Raw genomic sequence first — 19,116 nt, 5'->3', positions numbered from 1 at the left:
TGATTAGGAGATTTAGGAAATTATTCATTTTGTAATAATAAGAAAGCAATTCTTACATAATAGCATGAATATTTATCTCTAAATACTAGGAATTTCTGCTCCAATAAAAATGAGCTGGGCTGGGCACAGTGGCTCATGCCTGTAATCCCAGCACTTTGGGAGGCCGAGGCAGGCAGATCACTAGGTCAGGAGTCCAAGACCAGTCTGACCAATATGGTGAAACCCCATCTCTACTAAAAATACTAAAATTAGCTGGGTGTGGTGGTGTGCACCTTTAATCCCAGCTACTCAGGGGGCTGAGGCAGGAGAATCGCTTGAACCCAAGAGGCGGAGGCTGCAGTGAGCTGAGACTGTGCCACTGCACTCCAGCCTGGGAGACAGAGCCAGACTCAGTCTCAAAAAAAAAAAAGAGTTAATACAATCCTCTACTGATAAATGTAATCTGTAATTTTATTAGATTATCCTATGAGAAAGTAATATTTTGCTACTCTGGCACTGAAGAGAACTAGCAACCATTATACAAGAGAACTGGAAATAGGTGTATCTTAAGAAAAGTAATTAAAATAGTTCCGCATATGGCAAATCAAATATAGGACCCATCTAAGCCTGTTGGTTCTCAATCCACATGGCTACATGCGCCTGCTGCCACTTAACAATTCAACAGATTCTTCACTTCACTTCACTATGGGAAAACTCAGCCTGGAAGGTGAAAGGAAAACGGCGTTCTTTTTTTTTTTTTTTTTTTTTTTTTGAGACAGAGTCTTGCTCTTGTCACTCAGGCTGGAGAGCAGTGGCATTATCTCGGCTCACTGCAACCTCCACCTCCTAGGTTCAAGTGATTCTTGTGCCTCAGTGATATAGCTTGGCTTTGTCCCCACCCAAATCTCATCTTGAATTATAGTTCCCATAATCCCCACATGTCCTGAGAGGGACCAGGTGGAGATAACTGAATCATGGGGGCAGTTTCCCCTACCCTGTTCTCATGATAGTGAGTTAGTTCTCACAAGATCTGATGGTTGTAAGGGCTTCCCGCTTCGCTGGGCACTCATTCTTTCCCGTCACCCTGTGAAGAGGTACCTTCCGCCATGATTATAAGTTTCCTGAGGCCTCCCCAGCCATGCAGAACTGTGAGTCAATTAAACCTCTTTCCTTTATAAATTACCCAGTCACAGGTATTTCTTCATAGCAGCATGAGAATAGACTAATACACTCAGCCTCCTGAGCATCTGAGACTTCAGGCATGTGCCACCATGCCCGGCTAATTTTGGTATTATTAGTAGAGATGAGGTTTCGCCATGTTGCCCACGCTGGTCTCAAATGCTTTGCCTCAAGTGATCTACCTATCTTAGCCTCTCAAAGTGCTGGATTACAGGCATGAGCCACTGCACCCTGCTAACAGCAGCATTCGTATAAATTATCAGTGGGAATATCAATAGTGAAGTGTTTTTGGAGTGCTAGGCAATATGTACCACAATTTTAAATGTTCACATTTCCTTGTCCTAGAAATTTCTCCTTAAGGAAGTTTTCAGAAAGTCTGAGATTTACAGAGATAGATGTGTAAAGATGTTACTGCAGCACTGTTTGTAAGAATGAAAAATTAGAAAAACCTAAATAATGGTCAACAGAAGAAGGTTAAATAAGTTATGATATACATGGATGTATCCCTATCAACTTGAAGCAGATCTGTATGTACTGACGTGATGAGCACAGTGCAAAATGCTATGTATAATATTACTCCATTTTTACTATACTGCTTTTAAAAGCAATATATGTGTGTAAATATACATGTTTATATACAAAGATATCTGAAAGCCATCACACTACATTGTTAGCAACTGCCTCCAGAAAATGGAATGGAAAGAGAAATGAAGGTGGATATTCAGTTTATCCATTCTATATTGCTTAAATGTTTCAAAATAAGCATGTCCTGCTTTTATATTATTTTAAAATAAAGAAAAAGTATCACCTGGCTACATTTATGATTTAATTTTTTCCTTACCTTAAGCCTACAGATAATGCAGAGTAAGAAATTATAGGGAAAATAAAACTAAAACCCCAATAGAGATCTAAATAATGAATTTTAGCATACACATTTGCCATATACTCAATAGCTTAATCAAATACCTTAAAAAGAATAGGTAGCCTACCTTATGATCATTTTGGTCCTTAATTTCCCTGAAAAATCGAATATCTTTAATCAATCTGGATTTGATGTGTTCATCATACATAAATTGGCTAAATATATAGAACTTCTTTTTCAAAAACTGGTAGGTGAAATTAACCTATAAAATTAAAATTCAAAAAGTTGAAAAAAGTTAATATAAAAATTAATTCAAATCAATTCAAATAAATTTTACTGTATCACAGTTATCTATTTGTACTACCTATAAAGTACTATTTAAAAAGTCTATTTCATATTGGACCTGAAAATATTTAAATAACATTTTTTATTGCTGAAGTTCACAAAACTTTCTATAAGCTCCTCTTACATATTTTTACTAAAAAAGAAAAAAGAAAAGAAAAAAGTGGAAAATATTCTCATGATAGGACTAAGGGCTGTAGTGAGAATCACAAAACCAGACTCAAGACTCTAGTTTTTAAGCCATGGTCCAGTGAGAAGTTTCTATGTTCCTCCATCAGTAAGATTACTTATTGCTAATCTACAGGTCTAGAATGATACTAAAGTAAGAAACATGGTGTTCTCTGAACCTTCCTGAAGATACCACATATTCAATTATCTATCCATAAATATTTCTAATCACCTCTTACACACAAGGCAACGTGCCTTCTCCCATGCTAGACATGGTCCTTGTCTTCACGAAGTTTATATTCTAGAACAGGTGACAAACATTTTAAACAAGTATTGTTAAATAAATTATTAAATCTCTACTGTAATAATTTCTCAGAATGTTAAGTACATGTGTGCTTTGACAATAAATAACAAAAAGCCCTTGACTCAGAAAATCCTAAGAAAGTGAGGTATGAGCTGAGATTAAAGTCAAAATAGCACAGTAAAATTAATTCTAACCTACAGATGGAAATAGCAAAAGATTAATTCCAACCTACAGGCAGAAATAGCATAAGATTAATTCCAACCTACAAATGAAAACCCTAAATTCATTTCCAACCCCACTAACTCTCAAGTATTACTAATGATTTTGACAAATTTGTGCCCGTTTTACTCAGTATTCATTTACCCAATTATGGAAACAAATGATTTTCGGGAACTTATCTTGTAGCTTAAACATTGTACTCTCTCCTTGTTTTTTCTGTTTCTTTGCATTTTTAAAAAAATCTCTTTAACAGTCTTTTGTTTTTAATCCTTTCCACTCTTAATAGTGGGTAACTATTCTGCCATCCTGATTTCTATCCTTCTATGCTCATTTCATCAACAGACATCAGTAATCTACATTCATTAGTGTAATTAACTGATGAACATCTATATCCCTGTGATTACTGTGAAAGCAGGAAATGTGTTTTTCTCACACTAGTGCCCAGCACAGTCCCTGACACATAAAATACATTCACATCTGTTACATGAATATTTGATAGATGATAGAAGTCAAGGAAGAGTTTACTCTCAAAAGTTCAGTTTTATTTATCCTCAAAGGTACAAACATGATCATTACATGGATGACTCTTCATTTGGAATTTAAAATTGTATGTTTCATTTCTATATTGATAACCCCACTATAATGGAGCTCCAATCATATCACTCATTGGCTCAAAATCTTCAATGCTTTTCCACTGTATACTTAAATGATCCCAACTTAACTTTCCATTTTCTCCCAATTCCCTACTCCAAATGTGTTTAATAATACTGTACTACTTAAGCATTCAGTCTTCTCCCCTAAAGGAGAAATTAACTGTGCTCTGAAAACCAGGTAAATTCAAAGACTTCTCTTTTTCCACAGACAGAAAAATAGCATACGAGTTCAAATAATTCCTTCAAGTGAATGCCCATTTCGTTTTTGTTTGTTTTTTTTTTTTTGAGATGGAGTTTCGCTCTTGCTGCCCAAGCTGGAGTGCAATGGCGCAATCTCAGCTCACTGCAACCTCTGCCTCCCAGGTTCAAGCGATTCTCCTGCCTCAGCCTCCCAAGCAGCTGGGATTACAGGCGCCCGCCACCACGCCTGGCTAATTTTGTATTTTTAGTAGAGATGGGGTTTCTCCATGTTGGTCAGGCTGGTCTTGAACTCCCAACCTCAGGTGATCCTCCTGCTTCAGCCTCCCAAAGTGCTGGGATTACAAGCGTGAGCCACCACGCCAAGCGGTGAATGCCCATTTCTAAGAAGATTCAATATATTTTTAGTAAGTTCCTATTTATATGGACATCAAATAATTAGCAAACCCTGCCCCAAAAAGGGCATAAATAACATTAAGTAAATTACTATCTATTGTTGACTTTCAAAAGTAAACTTTCAGGGATCACAGATCAACACAGATAAACATATATATATGTGTGCACACACATATATTAATGTGCTGATGTCCTCAAATATCTAGCACTATTTATAATGATGGCTCTGAGATGGTAATCTACCCTAAAGTGTCTTTTGTATCACAGCTCCCATCACATCCAACACAATTTTAGGACCAGACATTTTAATTACTAACCAGAAAAAAAATGGAAATTCATGTAAAATATAAACTAGTAGTGTATGTTTACCGCAATATTCTATGAGAAAACCACGTTCCAAGCTATTAAACGGGTCTATTACCCACTCAACCCCCAAAGAAAAGTTCTTACAGTTGTATTCATAATTCCCGTGCCATGTGTTCGAATTGAATTAGCAATATGCCGAATATTAATAGTATTCAAATGCTTGTTATTGCTTGTTCGTTCAATAAAAATCTGCAATGAAACAAATTTATGCTCAGTAACAACGCAACCCATAGCAAACACTGGTCAAACAGGTATCCAAAGAAAATTTTAGAATCTATTTCATTAAAGACAATTTAATTGAAAATGCAATCAAGACAGTACAGGTGAGTATCCTTAATCCGAAAATCTGAAATCCAAAATGTTCCAATGAGCGTTTCCTTTGAGCGTCATGTTGGTGGTCAGAAGTTTACGATTCTGGAGCATTTCAGATTTTGGATTTTCAGATTAGGGATCCTCAAGTGGTATATGATACGAATATTCCAAAATCCAAAAAAAAATCTGAAATCCAAAACACTTCTTGTCCTAAACATTTCGAATAAAAGATACACAACTGGTATAATCAAGGCAAAAAAATAAACAAGGCCTCGAAAACAATTATTTTTTGTTTCATTTAATTTTCACCCATAAAAATCAATTCCTTGCCCCTCAGCCTTCCAACTATCTCCACCTACATTAAAAAAAAAAAATTTATAAACCCTACTCACCTGATTGTTGAGATTATAGAGGTATCGGGACACAAATATATGAATGTTTCTCATAATTTCTAAAACATCAAGGCCCTACAACATAATACACATACAAGTTTTATTATAATTCATTAAAATAATCAGTTAAACTTGTATCAGCATAATGACTTATTGATTATACTGTTTCCTAATAATTTTTAAGTTATTTTAAAGAACTATATAAAAGGTACGATCAAACGTTAAAAGACAAATCAAGACTATCTCCTTAGGGAAACCTGGCTGCTTATTACTTTATCTTTTGTGCAGACAGGAACAGTTAAGTTTAAATATTAAAAGATCCATGACCCACAGTCATCTCCCCACCAGCCTTGAGAATATTTGTCTCTTCAACAATCTTCTCTACATTTTTTCTACAAAGTAAACTAGTAGCCAGATTCTAAAAGGTAGTCAGAATGTGCTGTGACATTCATAAAATACATACTATTTTTCAGGTACTTTGCAAGGTTCCTTATATGTAATTCTAAAATATGAGGTATCATTCTTCTAAATTCCACAGGTGACAAAAAAGAAGCTAAGGAAGTTGTTCTCTGAGGCAAAATAGCTAGGCAGCAGCAGGGCCTTGGGACTTTAGAAAGTCTAATTCCAAACTGTTATGCTTCTTTTGATCACACCAGACCCCTTTTAAATAGTACAAGTTTTCTATTAAGAATCCTTCATTCTTTAAATAGATATTACTCTAACACCCAATGGTATCATATAAACTGTTCCATAGTTTTTTCTAATTAGAGCTCAAAGGAGCATCACAATACCTTTTTAAGTTTTTATTATAACTTTTATCATATTCTAATCTAAAAATTTGTTTACACATTTTTTCTCCCAGAGGATATTACATGAGCTGGGACTATTTATATTTATCTTTGTATTCCTAAACATAGTTCAGTGCCTAGCATGTTCTCAATAAATATCAGATATATAAATGAATAAATGAAAGGATATACAAAATAAATGAAAGGATATACAAACTGATCCTAGAAATAATCCCTACATGCAGCAAGATAAAGGGAAAACTAGAATCCTCAAATTTTAGAACTGAATAAATGTTTTTTGGTAAATATTATCTGGATCATCTTAAAGAGAACTCCACGCAAATTATCTGATAACATAAATTATTACATTCATGAGACAATGCCATACTGTACATTAACTAATTGAATTAGCAAAGCTAAATGTTTTCCTATACTCCTCATTTTAAGAACAAAAAACACATTTGTAATCATGTAAATTTAACCATTTTTCCTAAGATACTAAATTTTATATACTATAACCAGGCTTAAAATCCTTAAATGTGACTTTGAACTTCTTAAAATTCTACAGAAGTCACTTCACTATTCTAGTGTTTCTGAAAAGCTGTATATAAATATAAATATATATGTATATCTCGAATGCTCAACAGAAGGCTGAATATAAGCAGGACCCCGGTGGTAAATTCCTTTATAAAGCAATTTAGCAGCACCTAATTTTTTACTGTTGTCAAGTATAAGATTTTATATGGCAAATAATTTCTTAAAAAATAAGCACATACTAACTAAAGCAAAAAGAAAAAAGACTTCCTTAAAAAGTACTGTTACAGCCAACAGTCACAGTATGCTAAAAAAAACATTTTATACTATACCTGTTCCAAAGTCTGACTGGGAAGATGTGCCTCTGTCATAACCAGTCCATAACGCTGAGTAGCTAAGTTTCTCATCTCACTATAAGTGGCCCAGTCATGAAGGGCTACAGTTGTTAGATTGTAGAAAGTCTTGTCTAGGTAGTGAGTTACGTAAGCTACCAAAAAAAAAAAATTCAACTTGTGAAACAGTAGAAAAGGAAAAGAAATGAAACCTAAAAGGAAAAAACAACAACTTGTCCTTGAACATCAGATTTGTTCCTTTAAAATAAGGTATTAATAAAAATGAGAAAAGAAACAAAATGTAATTAAAGAATAACAACACAAAATTTAAATATACCCTCAAAGTTTTGTTTAACAGTAGGGTAAAAAAAAAAAAAAAAGAGAATATGACTCTAAGAAGGAAAGCAAAACACTCACCCCGAATGTCAATGAAACGATTGAAAAACCGAATTGGATTCAGAGAGAAAAAAAGAGCCAGGTCTTTCATGCCAACTTTGAAAGGGTTTCGGTCATCCAGCTTTAAATGAGTATGCACAGAAAGTCGCAGATCTTTCTCTATTTCTTTGCATAATTTGTCCAGCAAATGCTATTCACAAAAGATTTGATACTTTAATTTTTCAAAATGATATTGCAATTGTATTGTTTCCCTACATGTCTATGCTCCATTTTAAACCAATAGTTTTTTGGTCAGAAGCAGTTACATAAATTCTAAGTCTTTATTTTCACCAATACCTTAAGGTTAATACTCTTGAAAAGAAAATCTAAAACTAATGATTGATGGTACCATCATAAGGAACATGAATATGCAACTTAAAGCATAAAATTTATGGAAACCAGCAACAAAGGAGGAAAGGGCATGAGAACAGGCAAGAGAGAAAAGAAAAAAGCTTCCTTGTAATAACTGTTAAAAAAAAAATCACAAAATTCATTGTGCTAAAGGTAATAAAATTAATCATCTTTTCTGGTCTACCAAGGAGTTCTAAATTACTATCCAGGCATGTATTTTATTTCCTAAATAAGAATACGTAATACAAGAAATTATAAAAAGTTTTTCACAATTTCATCAAACCCAGGTAGGATTATATTGTGAAATTTCCTCATTTTTAATTCCTCCCTCCAAATAAAAATATCACTAAATGGAAATTTAATTTTAAAGATATCAGTGTTTATAATACATATTTCCTTAACAAAAGGAGGGGCATACATATTGGATTCAAATTACTTTTGTTACACACTAAATCTTTTAAATATATAATTTCCTTCTCTCAGGAGCTCTGCAAATAAAATTCAGTAAAATATTAATGGTTAAGTTGCTTTAACTGGACCATTAGCAGCTTTCAACATTCAAAACCATTTCACATTTGCATTCTTCTAATAAACAACTTTAAATTAAAATATCTATTTACAAAAGTAAATTTAAAATCTCCTAATTCCTAGTGTGATTTCTAAATAAATGAATTACAGACCAATTAGCACAACAGTGATATTGTAACTAAAAATAGTTCTTTGTTCTACCCAGCAATTTATAAATAATTTTAACTCAGTGAGTCTGCTTCAATCGAACATTTTTTTTCCAAACACTACATTCCAAACATGTTTTAAGCTTTTCAATCTCAAATATGATGTTACCTCATTTAAAATTTCCATAATTTCCTTGTCATAGCAATCCAGAAGTATCTCATAGGACTCTAAATGCCTTGCATGCATCATAGCAGGTACACAGTCGCGCAAAGCACTGAACATGTACTAAGAAGAAAATTAAAATGTACATGAATTTAGAAAAACCAGGTCTCTAATCTAAACAATACTGCAAAAGTTAATTATCTTGAAAGACAAAACCTCGATCTGAAGGAAAAATGATTTTCCACAACTGTCTTAACTTTCCTAAAGAAAAAGAACCTAAAGCATATACTTTAACTAAATATACCCAAAAAAAATCACATTCGCTAGTCCTTTCCTATCTTGTGCATTTAAACACACTTATTTCCATAAAGAAAAATATGAATATTTCTTAAAAATATTTTTTCTTTTGCATTGTAATTTGCTGATGAGTAAATGTCAGATTACTATGACATAAACTAAAATTAAGTGAAATGAAAATGATTAGGAACATGAAGGAAGAAATTAAATAAATTAACTTCGTTAACAGTAACATAAAATTTAACTACAGACTATAAACACTTTATGAATATGCAGTTTACAAAACAGTCAATTTTAAAAGTTTATTAAATCAAATGATCTATTTTAAACTAAAACGGTTTACACAGTGACTTTTAAAATGATAGAATTATTCTTTATATTGTTCTTTACTTACATGTAATCTGGCTGCATCAACAGCATTTTCATATACATCATCTAAATAAATTGGGAAGACAGCTCGATGCCAGTATAAAAAACAACAGTCACATTGTGTTTGGACTCTACAATGTAAAGTAGTAATCAGTCACACCAAAACTGAAGAATCCCAAAACAATATGAAAGGAATGACATCTACTACAGAAGGAAGAGTTCCATCTTACACAGTTCGCATTCCCTACATCACTTAACCCAACATAGTATAGAAAAGTCACAAAAGAAATACTATCAAAATGAAACAAAGGTAACAAACACTCCAATGCCTGACATTGTCAGAATTCTGCACATATGCTTTTGTAAACCATACTTGAAAAATGATATGCATAATATTCAAATATCAGAGTTTAAAATAAACATTTATTGACCATTTTTGGTTTTGGTAAATAAAAACAAACTCATTTTCAATATTATTTGCTATGACTAGACTTAAATACTTGCATCACATGCTCCATTTTCCCTGACTCTAAGTTGGAAAGAAAAATCTTTTAAAAAAAAAAAATTGTGACCCCCCCCGCCCCAAAAAAAAACCCACACTTAACATGTCTACAATCTTTGCCAAGTGACTATTTCACACCTTAAAGGGCAACAGAATGATCATTAACTATCTTATAATGAAAAAGGCTCAATATTTCTTCCAAGAGTGGAAAATTAAATGCCAATAACAAGAAAAATGTCAGCTTCTCCAGAACAACAAAAAAGTAAGTTATAAATATGAATACTAAATGGAAATTGTGCTGTAACCTTAATTCAGCTGGAAACCAAAATTCAAATTTCCCTTCAAGAAATTTACGCTTACTCAACAAAAAGAAAACAAGAAAGCCAGAAGGAGCTACAAAAATAAGCCTTCCAAAAACTAATTCAACAATGTTAATTCAAATTCGTGTCTTAAAATAAAATCATAGAACACTACGTATCATGGATTGCTAAGTCTCACACAAATAGAGGAAGCCCTGTTATAATACAGCAATTTAAGTCCAATAAAGATACCCAACATAATAATCACGATATGCATCAAAGTCGGCCAGATGCTCTGAGGTTGCACTGCTTTTTCTCATGTGAGTTTTTCTAGGGGCTACATGCTTCCTGTAGAAGCAAAGCTAAATAAATATGATCCCTAGTCACAATCTCATTTTGGTCATGCTAAAGAAGTTACAGAAAGGAACTAATGCTCGATCTGAATTTTATTTCTTCTCTTGCTATGCTAAAAAGAAAATCAATGTTTCTATTAACCCTGTCTTTGGAGTACCACAGCATATCCCAGTCCTACTTACCGTTCTCTAAGTTCACTAATAAGATCCAGTTTTTTCATGACTACTTGAAGTGGAAAGAGTTCTTCATCTTTAAATGTTTTCTATCAGGGACAGGAAAAAAAGGCAGAGAAGTTGCAGTCAAAGGTTTCTAGGGTCAGTAACAAGGGAACTGTGAAATCTCAGATCTCATTTCTGTTCCATAAGTAATAGCAATACACTTACCATTTGTGTGCCAACACTTAGTGCCAAAGAAACAATAAGTCGCCGTTGCTTTGTGCTTGGTCCATTTAGAGTGTTTTCAGCCAAAACTAGAGCAGAGAGCACATCAAGACGCTGTTCGCTGTATTTTTTGTCAGAAATCACTCTTTTCTTAAAAATAAAACAGGAAAACTATTTGTTTCTGAGGCAGTAACAAAAGACTCAGAAGAAAAACTTCTTGATTATCTTTTCCATGATTCAATTTAAGAGAGCATACACAAATACTTTCCCCATTTAAGCTTCTGACATTTATACTTTACTTCTGTAATATGATCCCTTAGTACTGTCAGAAACAGCAAATGTATTAGGCATACTTTAAAATTTCCATGTTAATTTACTAAGAAATCATTTTTTAAATGATGCATCAATTTCAAAAGTGCAATGTCTTTTTAGAAGTGTATTAATGTATTACATGCTGCAATTTCACAGTAAAGATAATGCCAATAACTTGAAGTAAAAATTGTAAAATACTATGGAGATAAATAACCGAGCATATTATGTTTGAAGGAATGGAATAAACAGGTTAAACCAGAAAACACATATAAAACAATGAAAGAACAAACAAAAAAGATAACATACTTATGCTAAATACATAATAAGCTGCATACCTTGGCCACAGAAATAGAATGAAGAGCCTGATGTTGAAGGTGCTGTGTTATATGTGAAACTGAATCAGCCACAACCATGCTTCTCCTGTAGAACATATGCTCTATTGCCTAAAAAGAATCAGAAATAATTTTCTGACAATCAACTTAAAAATTTCAGGCAAAATTATAGAAGATCTTTACGACCTTAGGCTAGGGAAGGGATTTGTAAATGAGATACAAAAAAACCTTACAGTCCTGGCGTGGTGGCTCACGCCTGTAATCCCAGCACTTTGGGAGGTCGAGGCAGGTGGATCACCAGGTCAGGAGTTCGAGACCAGCCTGGCCAACATAGTGAAACCCTGTCTCTACTAAAAAATACAAAAATTAGCCGGGCATGGTGGCGCACACCTGTAGTTCCTGTAGCTGAGGCAGAATCGCTTGAACCTGGGAGGCGGAGGTTGAGGTGAGCCGAGATGGCGCCACTGCACTCCAGCCTGGGCAACTGAGCAAGACTCCGTCTCAAAAAAAAAAAAAAACTTACAAAGTATAGAACTGATAAATTCAACTATACTAAAACTAAGCACTTCTGTTCATCAAAAGTCTCTATAAAGAAAATAAAAAGGCAAGCCGATGTATCACAAAATATCTACCAGGTACAAGTGACTAATGTTCAGGATATAAGAAGACCCAAAATGAATGAAAGATTTTGTTTTTTAAAGGCACACAATCCAATAAAAAAAATGGAAAAGACATGAACAGATTTTTCACAAAAGAAGAAACATAGTTAATAAATAATTGAAAGGATATTTACCATCACTAACAATCAGGGGTTAAATATTAAAAATCATAAAACCAATTATACCCACTAATTTATTTTAAAAAATGAAGCTCGATAATACCAGTGTTGGTCAATTGGAAATACAATTTTATTTCTAATGTAATTTTCTAATGTATTGTGGGAGGCATATATATATATATATATATATATATATATATACACACACACATATATATAGTCTGTCTATAGAGACAATGTGACATCATCTTGAAAAGGTGAACATATACGTAACACATAATCCAGTAACCAACTTTAGGTATATAATTCCTTACAAAAACTCCTGCACAAGTACACCAAGAAACACATACAAGGATGGCAACATTGTTTATGATACAAAAACCGGAAACAACCCGAAGTCTATCCACTACACAACAATGAAAATAGATGTGCTACTCATCCCAACATGGATACCCTCAAATACAAAATGCTGAGTAAAAAACAAAATGTTGAATAAAAAAATGGATCAAAAAATACATAAAATACTGCTCCACTAATATAAACTTCAAAAACATATATAACGATTAATGCTTTATTGATTCATCCATATTTGGCAAGCTAAAAAGAAAAACAAGAGAATGATAAACATAAAATTCAGGACAGTAGTTTCCTCTGAGGTGGACAGGTTGAGATGCAATTAGGAAAAAACACAGCATTTGAAAATATTGGTAACATTCTATTTCTTAAGTGGGACAGTGGGTATTTCTTAAGTGGGACAGTGGTTATTATTTTTAAAACCATGCTTATGTATTACATATTTATACATATTCTAACATACACATATACTTGTCTGTATTTATAGTTCATAAAAAATAAATCTAACATAAAATATCTATAAACAAATCATACAAAGAAAAAAAGGCTGAAAATCCAAAGGCAGAATCTCCAAAAGAAAAATCTTTATTTCCTGAACAAATCTAGTCAATTATTAGGAGAAAATTTACCAGCAAATCTTAATTTCAATTTTTACAAAAGGTTAACTGGACTTTCCTGCCTACAGGTTTTTTCTTTAATACAGAAGTAAGCTAAGAAACACGTTACCATACTTGCATAAGTGCACTGTAATTCTTAATTCATTTGACCACCTCTGTAAGTAGTCCACTGTTCAAATCACAAGATTACAGCACTTCATCTAAATTACAAAATAAATAGCCTTATGTTAACTAACCTCATACGCATGTAAACACTATAATGGATAATGGTAGACAAGCTGTTTTTTTTTTTTTTAACTCATGCAACCTTTTTAAAACTTCCAAGAGTAAAGCTTTACTGATAATATTAAAGTTAACTTTTCCATTTTCTTTCTTTTCTCTCTCACTACATTAACTTTTTTTTTTACTGTGTAAACTGGATATATTAACTTTATTTAATAAAGTTTAAATATAATGACCAGCCATAAGTAGTTACTCAGAAATTTATTTAAATGGCTAGTTCCTTTATTCAATTGAGAGAGAAGTACTTTCTCACAATTTTCTGTTCTCATATAATCATGTAGTCAAACCTTACAAGATTATCCTAATTTAAGCCTGGGTCATTTCTCAATTATGATGGAGCAGTAAAATAATCTAAAACCTACCTTGAGAAGTTCAACAAGCCTGCACAATGCCTTAACTGAGGTTTTGGTCATTGGCTTTTGCATGGACATGTAGAGATTCATTGTGGTTTTAATAATGGTACTAATACTATATGCATACAAGAAGCCCTGTAAAGGAAAACATTGATTATAATCACAAGGAAAGATTTTCTTCAAGATTTCATTATCTATTTAACAGCAGCTATTCCTCAACTTACCAATAACTAATGTTTCTAAAGTTCATCTTAAAGCCAGCTCTTAAGATTTGGAAATACTCTTCCTCACAGAGACAATGTTATACATGGTGGTTAAGTTTCAAAGCAGCCCTAACCGTTTATTTATCCTGTCACATACCAGAAGTTTTGTACTGTCAAAATAATAGTGTATAATTACAGCTTAAGAATCTTTCCCTTAAAAAAGCTTTGAGTGAAACAATTTGAATGTTAGAAAGGTATCTATTCATCCTTATCTTACCTGCCAGGGAAGAGAATAAAGACTCCTATCTGTTGCCACTTAAGGCAAGAGCTGAGGACTCTGAGGAGTTACAAATTGAAAAATAAGGAGAAAGAGGGCTGTTCTTCAGTCAATACAGATAGGCAAAGAAATTTTTGAGTTCCAAGCCAAGTCCCCCTTTCCTATTCACCTAGACCAATCCCCACAGTCCATCTGCTATCTCATCCTTGCCTAGTTTGGTGCTGCATTAGGCTTTCTCTCCTTCCAGCCCAATGAGAACAGATTCTCCCTCCCCTTCTATTCATGAAGGAAGCCAGGTCTTGTGAGGTGTTAAAATTCTTTTAATGCTATTAAACTCAGTGAAACAGTGGAATAAAGGAAAAAAGGGATATTGCTTCTCAAACACTTTTTCATTTAAACCCAAAAGGGACACACAGAAAAACACAAAGATAATGATGGAGATTCTTTGGGTCTATAAAGTTCCCAAAAGAGACACATGTACAGTTTAGCAAGGAACCTTAACTATGTTATTGTAGATACATTATGGAGGTGGGGCAGAAGATATATGCCAATGTTCCTCAAACTTTTGCTCCTGTCCCACCACATGTGAAAGAAAGTATTCTCCCATCGGAAACAGTGGCTCACTAAAGGAATGATACTCAGCGCAAAGTAGGAGTTCCTCTGAACCACACACAAAGTTTCTCTGTGGCGAAGAGACATGCTAAATTAAGAAAATGAAAAAATCAAAGAGAGGATAGCATCCTAAGAAAGGTGACCGTAAGACCAAAGCTTGGCACATACATGCAGAAAGAGCCACAGTCTTACCTTGTCAGCTGCAAGACTATTACATCAGACCCTACTCTAGTGCAGCCCTGGGAAAAATTAAAAAGCACAAACAAGGAACAGCAAAGATCTAACTCTAAGTCAGGCAGAAAAAGGAGGCTTCCCTTTTTTAGGGGTACTTGAAGTTCAGAACTCCAGGGCCCATATTAGCTCATTCCCAGATAACCATTAATTTGTGAAGGGATGTATTTTGAAATCTAAATTGTGAGGGAGAGGGTAGTCTGGAGTCTGTATTAGTTAATGATAGAATAAATAATTTAGATCAGCCTTCCCACTGAGAACAACTAGAATATATGGGCAAAACGGTTTAAAAATGCCTCATAAGGCATCAAAGAGGATTCAAATAAATAAGGAAATATAAGGCCAAGATCTGGAAGACAGAAACTCAGAGAAGTGATCCTGGCATTCAGGGTTGCTTTCTCTTAAATCATCTGCCTTAAAGACAAAAGCCAAACATACCTTTCAACAACATCTCACAGGGAAGGGAAATAAAAACAGGAGCTTGGGGCTCATCGGAGCTGGTTTTCATAAACCACCTAAGTTCTGAGTTGGCATCCTGAAGGATAACCCCCCAAAAAAGTAAGGGTGAATTAAACAACCATCACAGGATCAAAATCCTGCTTCAAATCATCTTGATCAACCTACTAGATTGATATAACCTGGGTTGCTAACCGTCCTAGACTAGCTGTGTACAAAAGCAAATACAAATACAAATACAAATCCCTTCTGGAGGAAGAAAATATCCAGATCCTCAAATTACGTCTACAGCTTTTCATATATAATGTGTGGCACTCTATAAAAAATAACTGGGTATATAAAAGGTAAGAGATGTACAAAAACAAGAGAAACAACAGATAAGACAAATACCCAAATAATGAAATTATTAGACATGTGCTTCAAAATAAGCTGAATGTGTTGAAGAAAATAAAACACAAAATCAAGTATCTCAGAAGAGAACTGTAAACTATAAAAAAGCCAGCTAAAAAGTAAAATTATTAAAATTTAAAACTCAGTAGATGAATTGATTAGAGACAGATGAAGAGAGAATTAGAACAGAGGAAACAGAAAAGAAATAATGCTCGAAGAGTTAATGGTAAAGAATATTGCATGAATTCAAGAAGCTCTACTGACCCCAAAGTAGCACAAACACACAAAGAAAACCACACCTAGGGGCATTGTAGGAACACTGCTAAAAGCCAAAAAGTAAAGAAAGATACATATTTTAGAAGCAACAAACCTACAGTTGACTTCTTAACAAAAACAAAGGAAGCCAGAAGACCATAAAATGACACCTTTAAAAGCTAGAAGAAAAAAAAAAACCCCACCAACCTAGAATTCTAACACAGCAAAATGATTGAAATGAAGACATATTCAGACCAAAAACTATTACAATTCATCAACAGAGACTTGTATTAATGAAATACTAGCAGGTATTCCCCAAGTAGAAAGATGAAAATTAAGAGATGTAGGAAGAATAAAAAGCAACAGAACAGGTAAATATGAGTAAATCTAAATAAACGCTGACTATAAAAACAACAATAGCGATAATAATGCCTTGTGAGGTTTAAAATACAGAGGAACTCAAAGTACACAACAACAGCACAGAAGATGAGAGGGAGATAAATAGAACTAAAGCTGTTTAAGATCCTTATACCGTCAGGAAAGTGGTAAAACTACTAACATACATTAGAGCTAAATGAGCAAACGATACATCTTAAAATGTCTAGAGTGACCGCTAAAAGAACAATAAAATAATATAGAATTAAACTAATAGAGAGGAGGAGAAATAAAATTAAAAATACTCCAAAAAAGAGCGAGAGAGGAAAAGAAAAGGGACACAGAACAAGTGAGACAAATACAAAGCAACTAGTCAGGTGGTAGTTTAAAACCAAATATATCAACAATGACATATAGAAAAAATAGTACTATGAAGAAAAAAAAACAAAGATTATCAGATAGGAGAAAAATATACGTTACTTACGGAAGACACACATTAACTATAAGGAGCCAGGAAGGCCACAAGTGAAAGGATCAAAAAAGATAATACCATGCAGACATTAATTAAAAGAAAACAGTTATAGTTAATATCACACGAAAGAGACCTACAACAAAAAGCATTACTAGAGATAACAAGGAATATTTCTTAACAAGAAAAGGTCTAATTTACTAGGAAGACAGAACAATTCTAAACATTATATACTTAGCCTAAAAATACACAAAACAAAAACTACAGAACAAGGATAAACAGACAAATCCACAATAGTGGGAAATTCTAACATGACTCTCAGTATCTGAAATACCCAGACAATATCATTAATCAGTATGACCCTCTTGTCATATACAAAATGCTACAACTGACAAATACAAATTATACATTCTTTTCAAGTAGACGTGAAATGTTTACCAAAGTTGACCATGGGCTAGGCCATAAAGCAAATTTCAAAATACTAAAATTATTTAATTATTGCTACAACTCAATAATAAAATAACTAGAAAATCCTCATATATTTCAAAATAAGGAAATCTTTCAAAAAGCCCACAGTTATAATAAAAATTTAAATAGTTTGAAATAAATGACAGTAAAAATACAACATATCAAAACTTCTACGATACAGCTAAATAGTCAAGTTGTAAAGGAATATAGAGCTTTGAATGGGTTGTTAGAAAATTTAAATTAATAAGTCACACAGATCCCAACATAACCAAATCAACTTGCTTTAATAAACAAAAACATACTCTACCCTTTGTTCAGTTTTTTCAAAGTTTAACTTCTGTAAGTTGGATTAACAAAAAAATGATTCCCCGAAATAAGATGCAACTACCTGTATAAAAACATTACATCTATTGGTGAGATCTTCAGCAAATTTATCCATTCTCTGCTCTTTAGACAAAATAGATTCCATTTTCATCATCCATGAGCTCACAAAGACGTAGTAAGACTGTACATCTCTAACAAAGGAAAATATTGGGGTTACTCAGCAAAGAAAATTTACTTCCATTTCTTGATACTGATTGCAGTACATTATTTCCCTGCAGCAGTCATTTCATCTTTCTGGTTTTCAAAAGATAAATATTACATAGACATATATAATTTACTCATTCAACAAACATCCCAGGTACTGTTTCTCAGTACAGGTACTGAGAATACAACAGTGAAATCAGCAGTAAATAAAATGAATACAAATCCCTCCTCCCATGATGCTTACATTCTAGAAAGGAGAGCTGTATAATAATGAAATCAGTAAGTAAAATTTTAAATTAATTAAAAGATACATACTACAGAAGAAATAAAAGCAGGGGAAAAAGGATAAGGACTGGGGTGGAGGTACAATTTTATATAGCATGATCAAAGTAGGCTCATTGAGTAGGTGATTTTGAGCCAAAGTTTGAAGCAGATGAATGAGTAATTCATGCAAATATACGAGAAGTGCAGAAAAGTGAAAGACAAACGCAAAATCCTAAGACATTTGGAAATGTGTCTGGCTTGTTCAGGTAATAACAAAAAAGTCAGTATACCTGAAGCACTGTGAGCAGGGATTAGATGAGCGAGATACAGAGGGAGGGAGTGGGGTGATGGGGAAGGGATTTGTGGAAGGCCTTACAAGGAGTAGGGATTTTGACTCAGAGAGACAGAAAGCCACTAGAGGATCTGAGCAAAGTAACTTGATCTAAGTTTAGTTTCAAGAGGATCTGATGAGTTGAAAATAAACTACAGAGGAGGCAATGGTAAAAGCAGGAAAACCACCTAAAAGCTACTGTAATAATGCAGAAGAAAGAGGATGACAGCCTGAACCAGAATAGGAACAGTGGAAGTGGTCAGAATCGGACTATAAAAGCTAATAGTTATTGAATGCTTACTACATGACAGGTACCATTCCAAGCACTTTACACACACACACACACACACACACACACACACACACACACACACTACCTCT

The 19,116-nt window shown here is 33.6% G+C and overlaps 1 protein-coding gene across 8 annotated transcripts in view; it reads right to left on the bottom strand.

Annotated features, from left to right (window-relative positions):
• Window positions 1-19,116, bottom strand: part of WASHC4 (WASH complex subunit 4) — a 61,400-nt gene that overhangs the window by 17,234 nt on the left and 25,050 nt on the right. For 6 of the 8 annotated variants that reach the window (XR_007063060.1, NM_015275.3, XM_047428593.1 and 3 more), the window contains 12 exons: window positions 18,001-18,127; window positions 13,886-14,011; window positions 11,496-11,603; window positions 10,852-10,998; window positions 10,651-10,730; window positions 9,339-9,444; window positions 8,654-8,770; window positions 7,442-7,610; window positions 7,025-7,179; window positions 5,371-5,445; window positions 4,751-4,855; window positions 2,148-2,282 (listed from right to left, as the gene is read on the bottom strand). Coding sequence is in view for 7 of the 8 variants with exons in the window: in NM_015275.3 (NP_056090.1) it covers window positions 2,148-2,282; window positions 4,751-4,855; window positions 5,371-5,445; window positions 7,025-7,179; window positions 7,442-7,610; window positions 8,654-8,770; window positions 9,339-9,444; window positions 10,651-10,730; window positions 10,852-10,998; window positions 11,496-11,603; window positions 13,886-14,011; window positions 18,001-18,127 (1,450 nt within the window). In the remaining variant the exon portion in view is untranslated. Of the gene's footprint in view, window positions 1-2,147; window positions 2,283-4,750; window positions 4,856-5,370; window positions 5,446-7,024; window positions 7,180-7,441; window positions 7,611-8,653; window positions 8,771-9,338; window positions 9,445-10,650; window positions 10,731-10,851; window positions 10,999-11,495; window positions 11,604-13,885; window positions 14,012-17,997; window positions 18,128-19,116 lie in introns of all 8 variants that reach the window. The other 2 variants (NM_001293640.2, XM_011538073.4) reach the window with 2 other exon arrangements.

The sequence above is a fragment of the Homo sapiens genome, chromosome 12 (genome assembly GCF_000001405.40).
Source record: "Homo sapiens chromosome 12, GRCh38.p14 Primary Assembly".
NCBI lineage: Eukaryota > Metazoa > Chordata > Mammalia > Primates > Hominidae > Homo > Homo sapiens.
The sequence above is the reverse complement of the archived record's forward strand: the minus strand, read 5'-3'. Positions and strand labels throughout refer to the sequence as shown.